The sequence below is a fragment of the Homo sapiens genome, chromosome 10, assembly GCF_000001405.40.
Source record: "Homo sapiens chromosome 10, GRCh38.p14 Primary Assembly".
Taxonomy (NCBI): domain Eukaryota; kingdom Metazoa; phylum Chordata; class Mammalia; order Primates; family Hominidae; genus Homo; species Homo sapiens.
Window position 1 is genome coordinate 32,479,289 of NC_000010.11, and position 18,253 is coordinate 32,497,541.

The 18,253-nt window shown below is 37.9% G+C and overlaps 1 protein-coding gene across 45 annotated transcripts in view; it reads left to right on the forward strand.

The window, feature by feature from the left end:
• Positions 1-18,253, forward strand: part of CCDC7 (coiled-coil domain containing 7) — a 439,541-nt gene that overhangs the window by 35,965 nt on the left and 385,323 nt on the right. For 39 of the 45 annotated variants that reach the window (XM_047425743.1, XM_047425742.1, NM_001321115.2 and 36 more), the window contains one exon: positions 12,634-12,709. The exons of 4 other annotated variants lie outside the window; for them this stretch is intronic. In XM_047425743.1, coding sequence (XP_047281699.1) covers positions 12,634-12,709 — 76 coding nt within the window. Of the gene's footprint in view, positions 1-2,383; positions 2,495-12,633; positions 12,710-18,253 lie in introns of those variants that run through there. 2 more of the 45 variants (XM_017016646.1, XM_011519683.2) reach the window with 1 other exon arrangement.

Consider the following 18,253-nt stretch of genomic DNA (forward strand, 5'->3'; position numbering starts at 1 on the left):
CTTGTTCTTCATCTTAGAGGAAAATCTTTCAACTTTTCACTGTTGACTGTGTAGCTGTGGGCTTGTGATAGTTGGCCATTATTGTTTTGAAGTACATTCCTTCTGTATCTAATTTATTATTTTTGTCATGAAAGAATGTTGAATTTTTTCAAATGTTTTTCCCCATATATTGAGGCTATCATATGATTTTTGTATTTTATTCTAGTAATACAGTATATCACATTTATTTGCATATTTTGAACCATCTTTGCACCCCAGGGATCAGTCCCACTTGGTCATAGTGAATGATTCTTTTAATGTGCTGTCAATTCAGTTTGCTAGTATTTTGTTAAAGATATTTGTATCCATATTCATCAGAGATATTGGACTGTGTTTTCTTTTCTCATAGCGTCTTTGTCTGGCTTTGGTATTAGGGTAATACTAACCTTGAAAAATAGTTCAGAAGTATTCCTTCCTCTTCAAGATTTTCGAAGAATTCGAGAAGGATTCTACTAGTTCTTTAAATGTTGGGTAGAATTAGGCCATAAAACCACTGGGTCCTGGTTTTTTCTTTTTTTTTTTTTAGTGGGGGATTTTATCACTGAGTCAGTCTTCTTATTAATTACTAGTCTGTTCAGACTTTCTGTTTCTTCATGATTTAGTCTTGGTGGGTTGTATGTGTCTATGAATTATCCAGTTATTTTAGGGTATCTAATTTGTGGGTGTATAAATGTTCACAGTAGTCTTTATCCTTTGTATTTTTGTGGTATCAGTTATTATGTCTCTTCTTTCTTTTCCAATGTTACTTGAGTCTTGCTGTTTTTTCTTAGTCCAGCTAAAGTCTTGTCAATTATGTTTATCTTTTCAAAAACCAAATCTTAGTTTTGTTGAACTTTTCTATGATTTTTCTAGTCTCTATTTTATGTACTTCTGCGCTAATCTCTTATTTCCTTCCTTTTACTAACTTTGGGCTCAGTTTGTTCTTTTTCTAGTTCCTTGAGGTGTGACATTACGTTATTTGAGCTCTTTTGTCTTTTTTTAATGTATACTTTATTTATTTACTTATTTATTTAGAGATAGGGTCTTGCTCTGTTGCCCAGGCTGGAGTAGAGTGATGTGATCATAGCTCACTCCAACCTCAAACTCCTGGCCTCAAGTGATTCTCTCACTTAGCCTCCTTAGTAGCTGATATTGCAAGTGTGGGACACTGTGCCCAGCTTGAATGTAGGTTTTTATTGCTATAATCTTCCTTTTAATAACTGCTTTTGCTGCATCACATAAATTTTGGTATGTTTCCATTTTTGTGTGTCATAAGATATTTTTTGATTTCTTTTTGATTTTCTTTTTGACCCATTGCTCAGGAGTATGTTAGTTTCCACATATTTGTAAATCTTTCAATTTTTCTTCAGTTATTGATTTCTAGTTTCATGCCACTGTGATTGGGAAATACTTGATATGATTTTAGCCTTCTTAAATTTTATAAGACTTACTGGCCTAACACAAGATCTGTCCTTTAGAACATTCCATTTGCACTTGAGAAAGCTCTATATTCTCCTGCTGTTGAATGGACTATCTTGTATATGTCTGTTAGGTCCATTGGTGTAAAGTGTGGTTAAAATGTAAGGTTTCCTTATTTGTTTTCTGTCTGGATGATTTGTCCATTATTGAATGTAGAGTACTGAAGGCCTCTGCTATTATTGTATTGCTGTCTATCTCTCTCTTCAGATCTATTAATATTTGTTTTATATATTTAGGTGTTGCAATGTTGGGTGTGTATATATTTGTTATATTCTCTTGAGCTTTTTTCATTATATAATAATCTTCTTTGTCTCTTGTGACTGTTTTTGATTTAAAGTATCTGGTCTGATGTCCAAGTATAGCCACAGCTGCTCATTTATTGGTTTCTAATTGCATGGAGTATCTACTTAACATCCCTTCACATTTATTCTGTGAGTAAGCAGCAGGTAGTCTTGTTTTTTTATTCATTCAGCCCTTCTGTGTCTTTGAATTGAATAATTTGATCCATTTACTCTCAAGTTACCTTTAATAAATAAGGACTTACTATTGCCATTCTGTTAATTGCTTTTTAGCTGTTTTGTAGATCCTTTGTTCTTTTATTCCCTGTTTGCTATCTTCCTTTGTGATTTGTTGATATACTTTTACTCCCCTCTAAGCATTTTATGTTTTTGATGTTATAATTCACATATTTTATATTGAATTTTATTAAGAAATTATTGTAGCTATAGGTATTTTGTTTTTTACCCTTTATTCTGTAGACATAAGTGATTTACAGACTACTGTTACAATATTATGGTATGTAATTTTACTATATACACACTTTCACCAGTGAGTTTTATACTTTCATATGTATTTGTGTTACTACTTAGTGTCCTTTCATTTCAGATTGAAGAGCTCCCTTTATCATTTTTGTAAGGCAAGCCTGATGATGATGAACTCCCTGAGCTTTTGTCAGAGAAAGTATCACTCCTTCATTTTTGTAGACCAACTTTTCTGGGTAAGGTATTCTTGGTTGGCAGTTTTTTTCTTCCAGAACTTTGAAAATATCTTCTTACTCTCTCTTAGACTGCAAAATTTTCACTGCTGATAGCCCTATGGGGATTCTCTCTGTGTGAGGAAGCTCTTTTCTTTGTTGCTTTCAAGATTCTCTTTTTGTCTTTAATTTTTGACAGTTTGGTTATAATACATTTTGATGAAATATTCTTTGGGTTGTACCTGTTTGGAGACGTTTTATCTTTCTGATGTTTATATCTTTCCCTATATTTGGGACATTTTGAGCCATTATTTCTTCAAATAAGCTTTCTGCCCCTTTTTCTTTTCTTTTTTTTTAATTCCTATAATGTAAATGATAACACTCTTGATGCTGTCCCATAAATCCTGTAGGCTTTATTTATTTTATTTTTCAGAATTAAAAAATTTAAATTTTTACATATTTAGAGGAGATAACTGCAGATTTCTTACATGTATATATTGTGTCGTGGTGAAGTCTGGGCTTTTAGTGTACCCATCACCTGAATAGTGAACATTGTATCCAATAGGTAATAGCCTTTAAAATTCCTTTTTATTCTTTATTCTTTTTTTCCTAACTGTATATTTTCAAATAACTTTCTTTAAGTTTACAGATTCTTTCTTCTCCTTGATGAATTATACAGTGGACATATTTTTTACTTATCTTTTCTAATTTTAATTTTATTATATTCTTTGGCATCAGAATTTCTTTTTTTTATTATACTTTAAGTTTTAGGGTACATGTGCACAACGTGCAGGTTAGTTACATATGTATACATGTGCCATGTTGGTGTGCTGCACCCAGTGACTCGTCATTTAACATTAGGTATATCTCCAAATGCTATCCCTCCCACCTCCCCCAACCCCACAACAGGCCCCGGTGTGTGATGTTCCCTTTCCTGTGTCCATGTGTTCTCATTGTTCAGTTCCCACCTATGAGTGAGGACATGCGGTGTTTGGTTTTTTGTCCTTGCGATAGTTTGCTGAGAATGATGGTTTCCAGCTTCATCCATGTCCCTACAAAGGACATGAACTCATCCTTTTTTATGGCTGCATAGTATTCCATGGTGTATACATGCCACATTTTCTTAATCCAGTCTATCATTGTTGGACATTTGGGTTGGTTCCAAGTCTTTGCTATTGTGAATAGTGCCGCAATAAACATACGTGTGCATGTGTCTTTATAGCAGCATGATTTATAATCCTTTGGGTATATACCCAGTAATGGGATTGCTGGGTCAAATGGTATTTCTAGTTCTAGATCCTTGAGGAATCACCACACTGCCTTCCACAATGGTTGAACTAGTTTACAGTCCCACCAACAGTGTAAAAGTGTTCCTATTTCTCCACATCCTCTCCAGCACCTGTTGTTTCCTGACTTTTTAATGATCACCATTCTAACTGATGTGAGATGGTATGTCATTGTGGTTTTGATTTGCATTTCTCTGATGGCCAGTGATGATGAGCATTTTTTCATGTGTCTTTTGGCTGCATAAAAGTCTTCTTTTGAGAAGTGTCTGTTCATACCTGTTGCACACTTTTTGATGGGGTTGTTTTTTTCTTCTAAATTTGTTTGAGTTCATTGTAGATTCTGGATATTAGCCCTTTGTCAGATGAGTAGATTGCAGAAATTTTCTCCCATTCTGTAGGTTGCCTGTTCACTCTGATGGTAGTTTCTTTTGCTGTGAAGAAGCTCTGTAGTTTAATTCGATCCCATTTGTCAATTTTGGCTTTTGTTGCCATTGCTTTTGGTGTTTTAGACATGAAGTCCTTGCCCATGCCTATGTCCTGAATGGTATTGCCTAGGTTTTCTTCTAGGGTTTTTATGGTTTCAGGTCTAACATTTAAGTCTTTAATCCATCTTGAATTGATTTTTGTATAAGGTGTAAGGAAGGGATCCAGTTTCAGCTTTCTACATATGGCCAGCCAGTTTTTCCAGCACCGTTTATTAACTAGGGAATCCTTTCCCCATTTCTTGTTTTTCTCAGGTTTGTCAAAGATCAGATGGTTTTCGATGTGTGGTATTATTTCCAAGGGCTCTATTCTGTTCCATTGGTCTATATCTCTGTTTTGATACCAGTACCATGCTGTTTTGGTTACTGTAGCCTTGTAGTATAGTTGGAAGTCAGGTAGCGTGATGCCTCCAGCTTTGTTCTTTTGACTTAGGATTGACTTGGCAATGTGGGCTCTTTTTTGGTTCCATATGAACTTTAAAGTAGTTTTTTCGAATTCTATGAAGAAAGTCATTGGTAGCTTGATGCGGATGGCATTGAATCTATAAATTACCTTGGGCAGTATGGCCATTTTCACAATATTGATTCTTCCTATCCATGAGCATGGAACGTTCTTCCATTTATTTGTGTCCTCTTTTATTTCACTGAGCAGTGGTTTGTAGTTATCTTTGAAGAGGTCCTTCACATGCCCTGTAAGTTGTATTGCTAGGCATTTTATTCTCTTTGAAGCAATTGTGAATGGGAGTTCCCTCATGATTTGGCTCCCTGTTTGTCTGTTATTGGTATATAGGAATGCTTGTGATTTTTGCACATTGATTTTGTATCCTGAGACTTTGCTGAAGTTGCTCATCAGCTTAAGGAGATTTTGGGCTGAGACGATGGGGTTTTCTAAATATACAGTCATGTCATCTGCAAACAGGGACAATTTGACTGCCTCTTTTCCTAATTCAATACCCTTTATTTCTTTCTCTTGCCTTATTGCCGTGGCCAGAACTTCCAATACTATGTTGAATAGGAGTGGTGAGGGAGGGCATTGCTGTCTTGTGCCAGTTTTCAAAGGGAATGCTTCCAGTTTTTGCCCATTCAGTATGATATTGGCCGTGGGTTTGTCATAAATAGCTCTTATTATTTTGAGATATGTCCCATCAATTACCTAGTTTATTGAGAGTTTTTAGCATGAAGCGCTGTTGAATTTTGTCAAAGGCCTTTTCTGCATCTATTGAGATAATTGTGTGGTTTTTGTTGTTGGTTCTGTTTATATGATGGATTACATTTATTCATTTGTGCATGTTGAACCAGCCTTGCATCCCAGGGATGAAGCCCACTTGATCGTGGTGGATAAGCTTTTTGATGTGCTGCTGAATTTGGTTTGCCAGTATTTTACTGAGGATTTTTGCATCGATGTTCATCAGGGATATTGGTCTAAAATTCTCTTTCTTTGTTGTGTCTCTGCCAGGCTTTGGTATCAGGATGATGCTGGCCTCATAAAATGAGTTAGGGAGCATTCCGTCTTTTTCTATTGATTGGAATAGTTTCAGAAGGAGTGGTACCAGCTCCTCCTTGTACCTCTGGTAGAATTCGGCTGTGAATCCATCTGGTCCTGGACTTTTTTTGGTTGGTAAGCTATTAATTATTGCCTCAATTTCAGAGCCTGTTATTGGTTTATTCAGAGATTCAACTTCTTCCTGGTTTAGTCTTGGGACGGTGTGTCGAGGAATTTATCCATTTCTTCTAGATTTTCTAGTTTATTTGCATAGAGGTGTTTATAGTATTCTCTGACAGCAGTTTGTATTTCTGTAGGATTGGTGGTGATATCCCCTTTATCATTTTTTATTGCGTCTATTTGATTCTTCTCTCTTTTCTTCTTTATTAGTCTTGCTAGTGGTCTATCAATTTTGTTGATCTTTTCAAAAAATCAGCTCCTGGATTCATTGAATTTTTGAAGGGTTTTTTGTGTCTCTATTTCCTTCAGTTCTGCTCTGATCTTAGTTATTTCTTGCCTTCTGCTAGCTTTTGAATGTGTTTGCTCTTGCTTCTCTAGTTCTTTTAATTGTGATGTTAGGGTGTCCATTTTAGAGATCTTTCCTGCTTTCTCTTGTGGGCATTTAGTGCTATAAATTTCCCTCTACACACTGCTTTGAATGTGTCCCAGAGATTCTAGGATGTTATGTCTTTGTTCTTGTTGGTTTCAAAGAACATCTTTATTCCTGCCTTCATTTCATTATTTACCCAGTAGTCATTCAGGAGCAGGTTGTTCAGTTTCCATGTAGTTGAGCAGTTTTGAGTGAGTTTCTTAATCCTGAGTTCTAGTTTGATTGCACTGTGGTCTGAGAGACAGTTTGTTATAATTTCTGTTCTTTTACATTTGCTGAGGAGTGCTTTACTTCCAACTATGTGGTCAATTTTGGAATAAGTGCTGTGTGGTGCTGAGAAGATTGTATATTCGGTTGATTTGGGGTGGAGAGTTCTGTAGATGTCTATTAGGTCCACTTGGTGCAGAGCTGAGTTCAATTCCTGGATATCCTTGTTAACTTTCTGTCTCTTTGATCTGTCTAATGTTGACAGTGGGTTGTTAAAGTCTCCCATTATTATTGTGTGGGAGTCTACATCTCTTTCTAGGTCTCCAAGGACTTGCTTTATGAATCTGGGTGCTCCTGTATTGGGTACATATATATTTAGGTTAGTTAGCTCTTCTTGTTGAATTGATCCCTTTACCATTATGTAATGGCCTTCTTTGTCTCTTTTGATCTTTGTTGGTTTAAAGTCTGTTTTATCAGAGACTAGGATTGCAACCCCTGCCTTTTTTTGTTTTGCATTTGCTTGGTAGATCTTCCTCCATCCCTTTATTTTGAGCCTGTGTGTGTCTCTGCACGTGAGATGGGTTTCCTGAATACAGCACACTGATGGGTCTTGAGTCTTTATCCAATTTGCCAGTCTGTGTCTTTTAATGGGAGCATTTAGCCCATTTACATTTAAGGTTAATATTGTTATGTGTGAATTTGATCATGTCATTATGATGTTAGCTGGTTATTTTGCTCATTAGTTGATGCAGCTTCTTCCTAGCCTCGACGATCTTTACAATTTGGCATGTTTTTGCAGTGGCTGGTTGTTCCTTTCCATGTTTAGTGCTTCCTTCAGGAGCTCTTTTAGGGCAGGCCTGATGGTGACAAAATCTCTCAGCATTTGCTTGTCTGTAAAGGATTTTATTTCTCCTTCACTTATGAAGCTTAGTTTGGCTGGATATGAGATTCTGGGTTGAAAATTCTTTTCTTTAAGAATGTTGAATATTGGCCCCCACTCTCTTCTGGCTTGTAGAGTTTCTGCCGAGAGATCAGCTGTTAGTCTGATGGGCTTCCCTTTGTTGGTAACTGGACCTTTCTCTCTGGCTGCCCTTAACATTTTATCCTTCATTTCAACTTTGGTGAATCTGACAATTATATGTCTTGGAGTTGCTGTTCTCGAGGAATGTCTTTGTGGTGTTCTCTGTGTTTCCTGAATTTGAATGTTGGCCTGCCTTGCTAGATTGGGGAAGTTCTCCTGGATAATATCCTGAAGAGTGTTTTCCAACTTGGTTCCATTCTCCCCATCACTTTCAGGTACACTAATCAGATTTGGTCTTTTCACATAGTCCCATATTTCTTGGAGGCTTTGTTCGTTTCTTTTTATTCTTTTTTCTCTAAACTTCTCTTCTTACTTCATTTCGTTCATTTGATCTTCCATCACTGATACCCTTTCTTCCAGTTGATCGAATCGGCTACTGAGGCTTGTGCATTCGTCATGTAGTTCTCGTGCCTTAGTTTTCAGCTCCATCAGTCCTTTAAGGACTTCTCTGCATTGGTTATTCTAGTTAGCCATTCGTCTAATTGTTTTTCAAGGTTTTTAACTTCTTTGCCATGGGTTTGAACTTCCTTTTTTAGCTCAGAGTAGTTTGATTGTCTGAAGCCTTCTTCTCTCAACTCGTCGAAGTCATTCTCCGTCCAGCTTTGTTCCATTGCTGGTGAGGAGCTGCGTTCCTTTGGAGGAGGAGAGGCACTCTGATTTTTAGAGTTTCCAGTTTTTCTGCTCTGTTTTTTCCCCATCTTTGTGGTTTTATCTACCTTTGGTCTTTGATGATGGTGACTTACAGATGGGGTTTTGGTGTGGATGTCCTTTCTGTTTGTTAATTTTCCTTCCAACAGTCAGGACCCTCAGCTGCAGGTCTGTTGGAGTTTGCTGGAGGTCCACTCCAGACCCTGTTTGCCTGGGTATCAGCAGCGGAGGCTGCAGAACAGCAGATATTGGTGAACAGCAAATATTGCTGCCTGATCGTTCCTCTGGAAGTTTTGTCTCAGAGGAGTACCTGGCCATGTGAAGTGTCAGTCTGCCCTTTCTGGGGGGTGCCTCCCATTTAGGCTACTCAGGGGTCAGGGACCCACTTGAGGAGGCAGTCTGTCCGTTCTCAGATCTCCAGCTGCGTGCTGGGAGAACCACTACTCTCTTCAAAGCTGTCAGACAGGGACATTTAAGTCTTCAGAGGATTCTGCTGCCTTTTGTTTGGCAATGGCCTGCCCTCAGAGGTGGAGTCTACAGAGGCAGACAGGCCTCCTTGAGCTGTGGTTGGCTCCACCCAGTTTGAGCTTCCTGGCTGCTTTATTTACCTATTCAAGCCTCGGCAATGGCGGGCGCCCCTCCCTCAGCCTTGCTGTGGCCTTGCAGTTTGATCTCAGCCTGCTGTGCTAGCAATGAGTGAGGCTCCGTGGGCGCAGGACCCTCCAAGCCAGGCGCGGGATATAATCTCCTGGTGTGCTGTTTGCTAAGACCATTGGAAAAGCGCGGTATTAGGGTGGGAGTGACCTGTTTTTCCAGGTGCCGTCTGTCACCCCTTTCTTTGACTAGGAAAGGGAATTCCCTGATCCCTTGTGCTTCCCAGGTGAGGCAATGCCTTGCTGTGCTTCGGCTGATGCTCGTTGCGCTGCACCCAGTGTCCTGCACCCACTTTCCGACACTCCCCAGTGAGATGAACCCGGTACCTCAGTTGGAAATGCAGAAATCACCCGTCTTCTGCGTCGCTCACGCTGGGAGCTGTAGACTGGAGCTGTTCCTATTTGGCCATCTTGGCTCCAACCCCCCAGCATCAGAATTTCTGTATGGTTCTTCTGTATGATTTCTATCACTCTGTTAAACTTCTCATTTTGTTCGTGTATTGTTTTTCTGATTTTTGTTAAGTTGTCCATCAGTGTTTTCTTATAGCTTACTGAGCTTCCTTAAAACTATTATTTGAATATTTCGTCAGATATTGATAGAGTCACTTCTTCTAGACTTTATGGACTAGTTTTATATGAAAAGATCTTCACCTATGGGTGGTTGTGAGTACACTAGCTGGGTGGGGTGTGGCAATTCAGGATCCAGTGAGGTTGTGGCAGTTTAGTGTTCATGTAGCTTTTTCGGCTGTGGTTGATATGGGTAAAAATTTCAGTGGTGTACAGTGGCCAAGGCTGTAGGTATCTGCAACAGTGGGAAAGCCTGACAGAATTCTTCTAATCTCTTTTACTTCCCTAAGGGAAGCTGTGGCAGAGGTGACACCTCTTGGTTCTGGATTTGGCTGGTGGGTGTGCTTCTAGTGACAGTGGTACTAATGTCTGATGCATGATACCTGTGGAGTGGTCAAGGAGCTTGGATCTGGGAGCACAGGCATGTATGGATTGACAGTGGCTTTGGGGTCCAGATGCTAGTGTGTGCAAGTCTACTGCTGCTCTGAGGACTGTGATATGGATATCCCTGCTGCATTGATGGTTCTGGTGTCTAGAATGCAGGCACTTGTTGAGTGGTTGCAGAGCCACATTCTGGAATGTGGTCACACCTGGAGAGCAACAGTTGCGTGGGCTAGCTTGTTGTGGTGGTAGCTCTGATGTCTGATGCATGTGCAGTCAGAGTCTCAAAGAGTTGCAGCAGAGCTGAGGTTGCAGCCCACATGTGTACTGAGAGACTGCAGCTTCAGGGCCCTGGGCAAGGCTAGCATGTAAAGCCAGTGGCTCTGGTGACTATATTATACATGTGCATGGTGCAGCCTTAGAGATGTGGACTGGAGTGTGAACACATGCAGAGCAACAGTGGTTCCAGGATTGAGCTGTGGCTTAGCTCACTGTGGCAGTGGCTCAGATACCTGAAGCATAGGATTCCTAGAGGAGTGGCAGAGCTAGGGTTCATTGTGCAGGCTGGTGCAGAGTGAGCATGGCTCTAGGGCCTGGGGTGGGGCTAGCCCTCAGTGAAGGGGGCTGTGGTGTCTGAGGCATGGAAGTGCGTGATCCAACGTTCAAGCCAGTGCTGGAGCCTGGGTACATATGGAAAGATTGTGACTCTGTGGTCTGGGTCACACATGGAATTGGGGCATGGTGGCTCTGGTCCTGGGTTGGCACAACAGTGGTTCCTTCTTGGTGGTGGATGGAGCAACATTTCTCTTATCTGGGGGTTTAATGGTGGCAGTGGTTATTAGTTATCTCAGTGGTGAGAGCTGTCAGTGTTCTCTGTAGAGCAGGCTACTAGGAACCATGGTGGGACATGTTGCATGGCTCATAGTGATAGTTCCTGCACTCTTCCTCATTCCTTGCTGTCTCCAGCTGTCTCTGGTATGCTGATCTCCTCAGCTATCCTGTCTGTGTGGTTATTCTCCATTTTTTTGCTTTACTATCTTGCTGCAACTTCTTTGAGACTTTGAGCCCTACCAAGGCCACTTTCATCCATGGATAGCTGTCTAGTGGTTGTTTCTTTGTGGGGAGATGAAGACTGATATCTCCTACTTTCTCATCTTGCTAATGTCATTTTGTGTTCTTCCTTTTTTTCCCCCAGGAATGTTTTGTAATGGCTTTTTCTTCTTTCTGGGGACTGAATTTTCAAATTGTGGCTGAAATAATAGTTGATGTTCCTTGTAGTCCTTTACCATATTTAGGGCAGAATTTAAAATCGTCTCATATGCTATGATCAGATTACTCTTAAAATATTGTTTTATTTTGGCTGGGTGCAGTGGCTCACGCCTGTAATCCCAGCACTTTGGGAGGCCCAGACGGGCTGATCATGAGGTCAGGAGATTGAGACCATCCTGGCTAACACAGTGAAACCCTGTCTCTACTAAAAATACAAAAAAATTACCTGGGTGTGGTGGTGGGCTCCTGTAGTCCCAGCTACTCGGGAGGCTGAGGCAGGAGAATGGCAGTGAACCCGGGAGGCAGAGCTTGCAGTGAGCTGAGATCGCGCCACTGCACTCCAGCCTGGGCGACAGAGCGAGACTCCGCCTCAAAAAAAAAAAAGTTGGTGTTTTATTTTATCATTTACTGTAACTTTTTATGTAAACATTTTAAATTATTCTCTCTTACCTACAAAAAATTATAAATTTAATTCTTACGAAGCTGGCTTCTCCCAGTATCCTATTTGAATCTTTGAGGAATATTGACTCTCTCAAAGTAAAGCCTCTGTTTGACTTGGTTTCTTGGTTGTACTTGATATATTTGGTACCCTGAATATATTTTACACATTTCTACTTTTTCTGCCTTTGCTTAGGGTGTTTACTTTTCATTTTTTTCTCTCTAATGAAACTCTGTCCATTCTTTAAGGCTTAGCTTCTTTATGTTTTTCTACTTTAACTTCTCAGCTCCTAAATATTTATTATTCTTCTATACCACTCTTTTGACACGTGGGATAGAAAAAATATAATTAATGTTTAGGAACTCTTGTATGCTTCTATATTATTTAACATTTTCTTTGTGTCATGTCTTGTTTATCTAGCAGAAAACTTAGTGCAGGGACTGTCTTCTGTCATATACTTTTTATGTCACAAGATTGAAGAGTCTTGTGGTATTACCCCAATAGTTCATTGATTATTATGGATCATTATTATGTTGGTTCTCTTTTAAGTAGCATCTTAGGTTCTCTTTTGGGTTCTTTGATACAGTTGTAAAGCTTAACAGGTTAGCTAGATCCTTCCCATAGACCTTATTGACTTAGCAACAGCAACTAAAGCAGTTCTGTTTTAGTATGCTATAGTCCCTCTGATATTCCATATCATAAGAAGGTCACATATGTTGGACATTAATCCAGTTTTGTCTTTTACTAGATATATAGTATTGATCAAGTTATGTAACCTCTTTGAGCCTGAACTTCTTTATTTGAAAATTATGACAGTATCTTATTTTTTAGATTAAGAATAAGAGAATGCAATATAACATGGTGATTTGCACATAATAGGTGTTTAATAAAATGGTAGCTATTCTCCTCATAAGCATTCTGTTAATAGTCATGTAGCCCATGCTAGCCCCTCTTTATGTTTGTTTAGCTTTCACATCTATAGCAGTTATATTTAGCATAGAGCTATAACTTAAGCTATTTATAAAACCTTTAACATTTTTGACTTTTTAAATAATAGAAACTGCTCATTCAATGACTAATCGATTTAATGCCATGTTGAAAGTATTTGAAAACCAGGCAAATATGTTGGAGAGGTAAGCTTTTTTGTTTTTGCATTTTATTATTTTTCTATTTTTAAAAAAAGACAGATAAAATTGTATTTTTCCATATGTAATATGTTCATTGAAAAAAGTTAGTACGTGTTTATTGCAGAAATATTGAAAACATAAAGAAGAAAATAACACCTCTATCAACAAATTTAGAATTTCTTATATCAATTTTTATGATTTTATGTATGTATAATTTTTACATGGAAAGTTATAAACATAGAGAATGTAAAATGAAATGTAAAATATGTGCTATGGGAAAATAGTATATTGGTTCCTAAAAAAATTAAAAACAGAATTACCATATGATCCAGCAATTCCACTTCTGGGCATATATACCCCAAAATTGAAAACAGAGTGTTGAAGGGATATTTGTACATCCATGTTTGTTGCAGCATTATTCACAATAGCCAAAAGATGGAAGCAACCCACATGTGCAACAATGAATAAATGGATAAACAAAATGTGGCATATACATATAATGAAATTATTATTGAGTCTTAAAGGAAATTCTAATACATGCTACAACATGGATGAACCCTGAGGACATTCTGCTAAGTATAATAAGCCAGCCACAAAAAAGACAAATGCAATTATTCCTCTTACATGAGGTATCTAGAGTAGTGTCAACTTCATAGACACAGAAGATAGAATGATGGTTGCCAGGGGGTACAGGAGGGGGAAATGGGGAGTTATTGTTTGATGCACACAAAGCTTCAGTTTTACATGAGGAGAAGAGTTCTGGAGATTGGTTGTAAAATAATGTAAAGTTACGTAACACTGCTGAACTATACACTTAAAATGATTAAGATGGTAAATTTTATGTTATATGTATTTTTCCATAGTTAAAAAAGTTAAAAGTTGCGATGATACAAAATGTAGTTTGTGAATATTTTTTCACCTGTAAACTCATTTAATTTCTTTTTAAAATAAATGTTTTATTTTTTATTGACAAAATTATATATATTTATGGTATAAAATGTGATGTTTTTATATGTACATACCTTGTGGAATCGCTAAATCAAGCTATGTAACAGACCCAAAATCCTCACATACATATCTTTTTTTTTCTGGTGAAAACACTTAAAAACTACTCTCTAGAAACTTTCCCTTTGTCTAGCTGAAATTTTGTACCCTTTGACCAACATCTCCGCATTTTCCCCCAACCCCAGCCTCTAGTGACCAGCATTCTGTTCTCTATTTCCATGAGTTTGACTTTTTAGGGTTCTACATATAAGTGAGATCATGCAGTAATTGTCTTTCTGTACCTGACTTCTTAGCATAATGCCCTTCAGTTTCATCCATGTTGTTGCAGATGACAGGATTTCCTTCTTTTTAAGGCTGGATAATATTTTATATTTATATTTATATTTAATATATATATCTGTATATATATATCTTCCACATGTTCTTTATCTATTTTTACATTTATGGACACTTAGGTTGATTCCATATTGTAGTTATTGTGAATAATACTGCAGTGAACATGGGAGTATGGGTATCTACTCAACATGATTTATCCCATTTCCTTTAGATGTATACTCAGAAATGGAATTTTTTGGTCATTCGGTAGTTCTGTTTTTATCTTTTTTGAAGAATCTCCATACTGTTTTCCATAAAGCTGAACTAATTTACATTCTCACTAACAGTGTATAAGAGTTCCCTTTTCTCCACAGTCTTGCCAGTACTTAAATGTTTTTTCTTTTTGATAATAGCCATTTTTTTTGATAACAGATGTGAGGTAATATTACATGGTGGTTTAAATTTACTTTTCCTTGATGATTAGTGATGTTGAACATTTTTTTCATATACCCTGTTGACCATTCACATGTCTTTTTTTGAGAAATATCAAACCATTTGCCCATTTTTAAATGGTGTTATTTGTTTTCTTGTAGTTGAGTTGAGCTCCTTTTACATCTTGGATATTAAACTCTTATCAGATGTATGGTTTGCAAATATTTTCTCCCATTCCATAGTTTGTATCTTTATTCCATTGATTGTTTCCTTTGCTCTACAGAAACTATTTAGCTTGATGCAGTCCCATTTGTCTATTTTTGCTTTTGTTACCTGTGCTTTTGGGGTCATATCAAAAAAATCTTTTCCAAGACCAATGTCAAGAAGTTTTCACCCTGTTTTCTTCAAGTAGTTTTACAGTTTCAGGTTTTACGTTTAAGTTTTTAATTCATTTTGGGTCTATTTTTGTATATGAGATGAGATAAGGACCCTATTTCATTCTTCTGTAGTCTCTTCAACACAATTTATTGAAGAGACATTCTTTTCCTAATTATGTGTTTTTGGACATTTGTCAAAGATCAGTTGATCATATATATGTAAATTTATTTCTGGGCTCTCTATTCTGTTCCATTGGCTATGTCTGTTTTTTTTTTTCCTTTTTCTAAATTATACTTTAAGTTCTGGGGTACATGTACAGAATGTGCAGGTTTGTTACATAGGTATACATGTGCCATGCTGGTTTGCTGCACCCATCAACCTGTCATCTACATTAGGTATTTCTCCTAATGCTATCCCTCCTCTAGGCCCCCACCTGCTGACAGGCCCTGGTGTGTGATGTTCCCCTCCCTGTGTCCATGTGTTCTTATTGTTCCACTCCCACTTATGAGCGAGAACATGCGGTGTTTGGTTTTCTGTTCCTGTGTTAGTTTGCTGAGAATGATGGTTTCCAGCTTCATCCATGTCCCTGCAAAGGACATGATCTCATCCTTTTTTATGGCTGCATAGTATTCCATGGTGTATATGTGCCACATTTGCTTTATCCAGTGTATCATTGATGGGCACTTGGGTTGGTTCCAAGTCTTTGCCATTGTGAACAGTGCTGCAATAACATATGTGTGCATGTGTTTTTATAGTAGAATAATTTATAATTCTTTGGGTATATACCCAGTAATGGGATTGCTGGGTCAAATGGTATTTCTAGTTCTAGATTCTTGAGGAATCACCACACTGTCTTCCACAATGGTTGAACTAATTTACACTCCCACCAACAGTGTAAAAGTGTTCCTGTTTCTCCACATCATCTCCAGCATCTGTTGTTTCCTGACTTTTTAATGATCGCCATTCTAACTGGCATGAGATGATATCTCATTGTGGTTTTGATTTGCATTTCTCTAATGACCAGTGATGATGAGCATATTTTTATAAGTTTGTTGGCTGCATAAATGTCTTGAGAAATGTCTATTCATATTCTTCACCCACTTTTTGATGGGGTTGTTTGTTTTTTTCTTGTAAATTTGTTTAAATTCTTTGTAGATTCTGGATATTAGCCCTTTGTAAGATGGATAGATTGCAAAAATCTTCTCCCATTCTGTAGGTTACCTGTTCAGCCTAATGATAGTTTCTTTTGCTGTGCAGAAGTTCTTTAGTTTAATTAGATCCCATTTGTCAATTTTGGCTTCTGTTGCCATTGTTTTTGGTGTTTTAGTCATGAAGTCTTTACCCATGCCTATGTCCTGAATGGCATTGCCTAGGTTTTCTTCTAGGGTTTTTATGGTTTTAGGTCTTACGTTTAAGTGTCTAATCCATCTTGAGTTAATTTTTGTATAAGGTGTAAGGAAGGGATCCCAGTTTTAGTTTTCTGCCTATGGCTAGCCAGTTTTCCCAACACCATTTATTAAATAGGAAATCCTTTCTCCACTGCTTGTTTTTCTCAGGTTTGTCAAAGATCATATGGTTGTAGATGTGTGGTGTTATTTCTGAGGCCTCTGTTCTGTTCCATTGGTCTATATATCTGTTTTGGTACCAGTACCATGCTGTTTTGGTTACTGTAGCCTTGTAGTATAGTTTGAAGCCAGGTAGCATGATGCCTCCAGCTTTATTCTTTTTGCTTAGGATTATCTTGGCTATGAGGGCTCTTTTTTGGTTCCATATGAATTTAAAGTAGTTTTTTTTCTAATTCTGTGAAGAAAGTCAATAGTAGCTTGATGGGGATGGCATTGAATCTATAAATTACTTTGGGCAGTATGGCCATTTTCATGGTATTGATTCTTCCTATCTATGAGCATGGAATGTTTTTCCATTTGTTTGTTTCCTCTCTTATTTCCTTGAGCTGTGGTTTGTAGTTCTCCTTGAAGAGGTTCTTCACATCCCTTGTAAGTTGTATTCCTAGGTATTTTATTCTTTGTAGCAGTTGTGAATGGGAGTTCACTCATGATTTGGCTCTCTGTCTGTTCTTGGTGTATAGGAATACTTGTGATTTTTGCATATTGATTTTGTATCCTGAGACTTTGCTGAAATTGCTCAGCTTAAGGAGATTTTGGGCTGAGACGATGGGGTTTTCTAAATAAACAATCATGTCATCTGCAAAGAGAGACAATTGACTTCCTCTTTTCCTAATTGAATACACTTTATTTCTTTCTCTTGCCTGATTGCCCTGGCCAGAACTTCCAATACTATGTTGAATAGGAGTGGTGAGAGAGGGCATCCTTGTCTTGTGCCAGTTTTCAAAGGAATGCTTCCAGTTTTTGCCCATTCAGTATGATATACTGATATTGGCTGTGGGTTTGTCATAAATAGCTCTTATTATTTTGAGATACTTTCAGTCAATACCTAGTTCATTGAGAATTTTCAGCATGAAGGGCTGTTGAATTTTGTTGAAGGCCTTTTCTGCATCTATTTACATAATCATGTGGTTTTTGTCATTGGTTCTGTTTATGTGATGGATTACGTTTATTGATTTGTGTATGTTGAACCAGCCTTGCATCCCAGGAATGAAGCCCACTGGATCATGGTGGACAAGCTTTTTGATGTGCTTCTGGATTCAGTTTATCAGTATTTTATTGAGGATTTTCTCATTGATGTTCATCAGGGATATTTGCTTAAAATTTTCTTTTTTTGTTGTGTCTCTGCCAGGTCTTGGTATCAGGAAGGTGCTGGCCTCATAAAATGAGTTAGGGAGGATTCTCTCTTTTTCTATTGTTTGGAATAGTTTCAGAAGGAATGGTACCAGCTCCTCTTTGTACCTTTGGTAGAATTTGGCTGTGAATCCGTCTGGTCCTGGACTTTTTTTGGTTGGCAGGCTATTAATTACTGCCTCCATTTCAGAACTTGTAATTGGTCTATTCAGGGATTTGACTTCTTCCTGGTTTAGTCTTGGGAGGGTGTATGTGTCCTGGAATTTATCCATTTCTTCTAGATTTTCTAGTTTATTTGTGTAGAGGTGTTTATAGTATTCTCTGATGGTAGTTTGTATTTCTGTGGGATCTGTGGTGATATTCCCTTTATCATTTTTTATTGCGTCTGTTTGATCTTTCTCCCCTTTCTTCTTCATTAATCTGGGTAGCAGTCTATCTATTTTGTTGATCTTTTCAAAAAACCAGCTCCTGGATTCATTGATTTTTTGAAGGGCTTTTTGTGTCTCTATCTCCTTCAGTTCTGCTCCGATCTTAGTTATTTCTTGTCTTCTTCTAGCTTTTGAATTTGTTTGCTCTCGCTTCTCTTGTTCTTTTAATTGTGATGTTAGGGTGTTGGTTTTAGATCTTGCCTTCTTTCTCTTGTGGGCATTTAGTGCTATACATT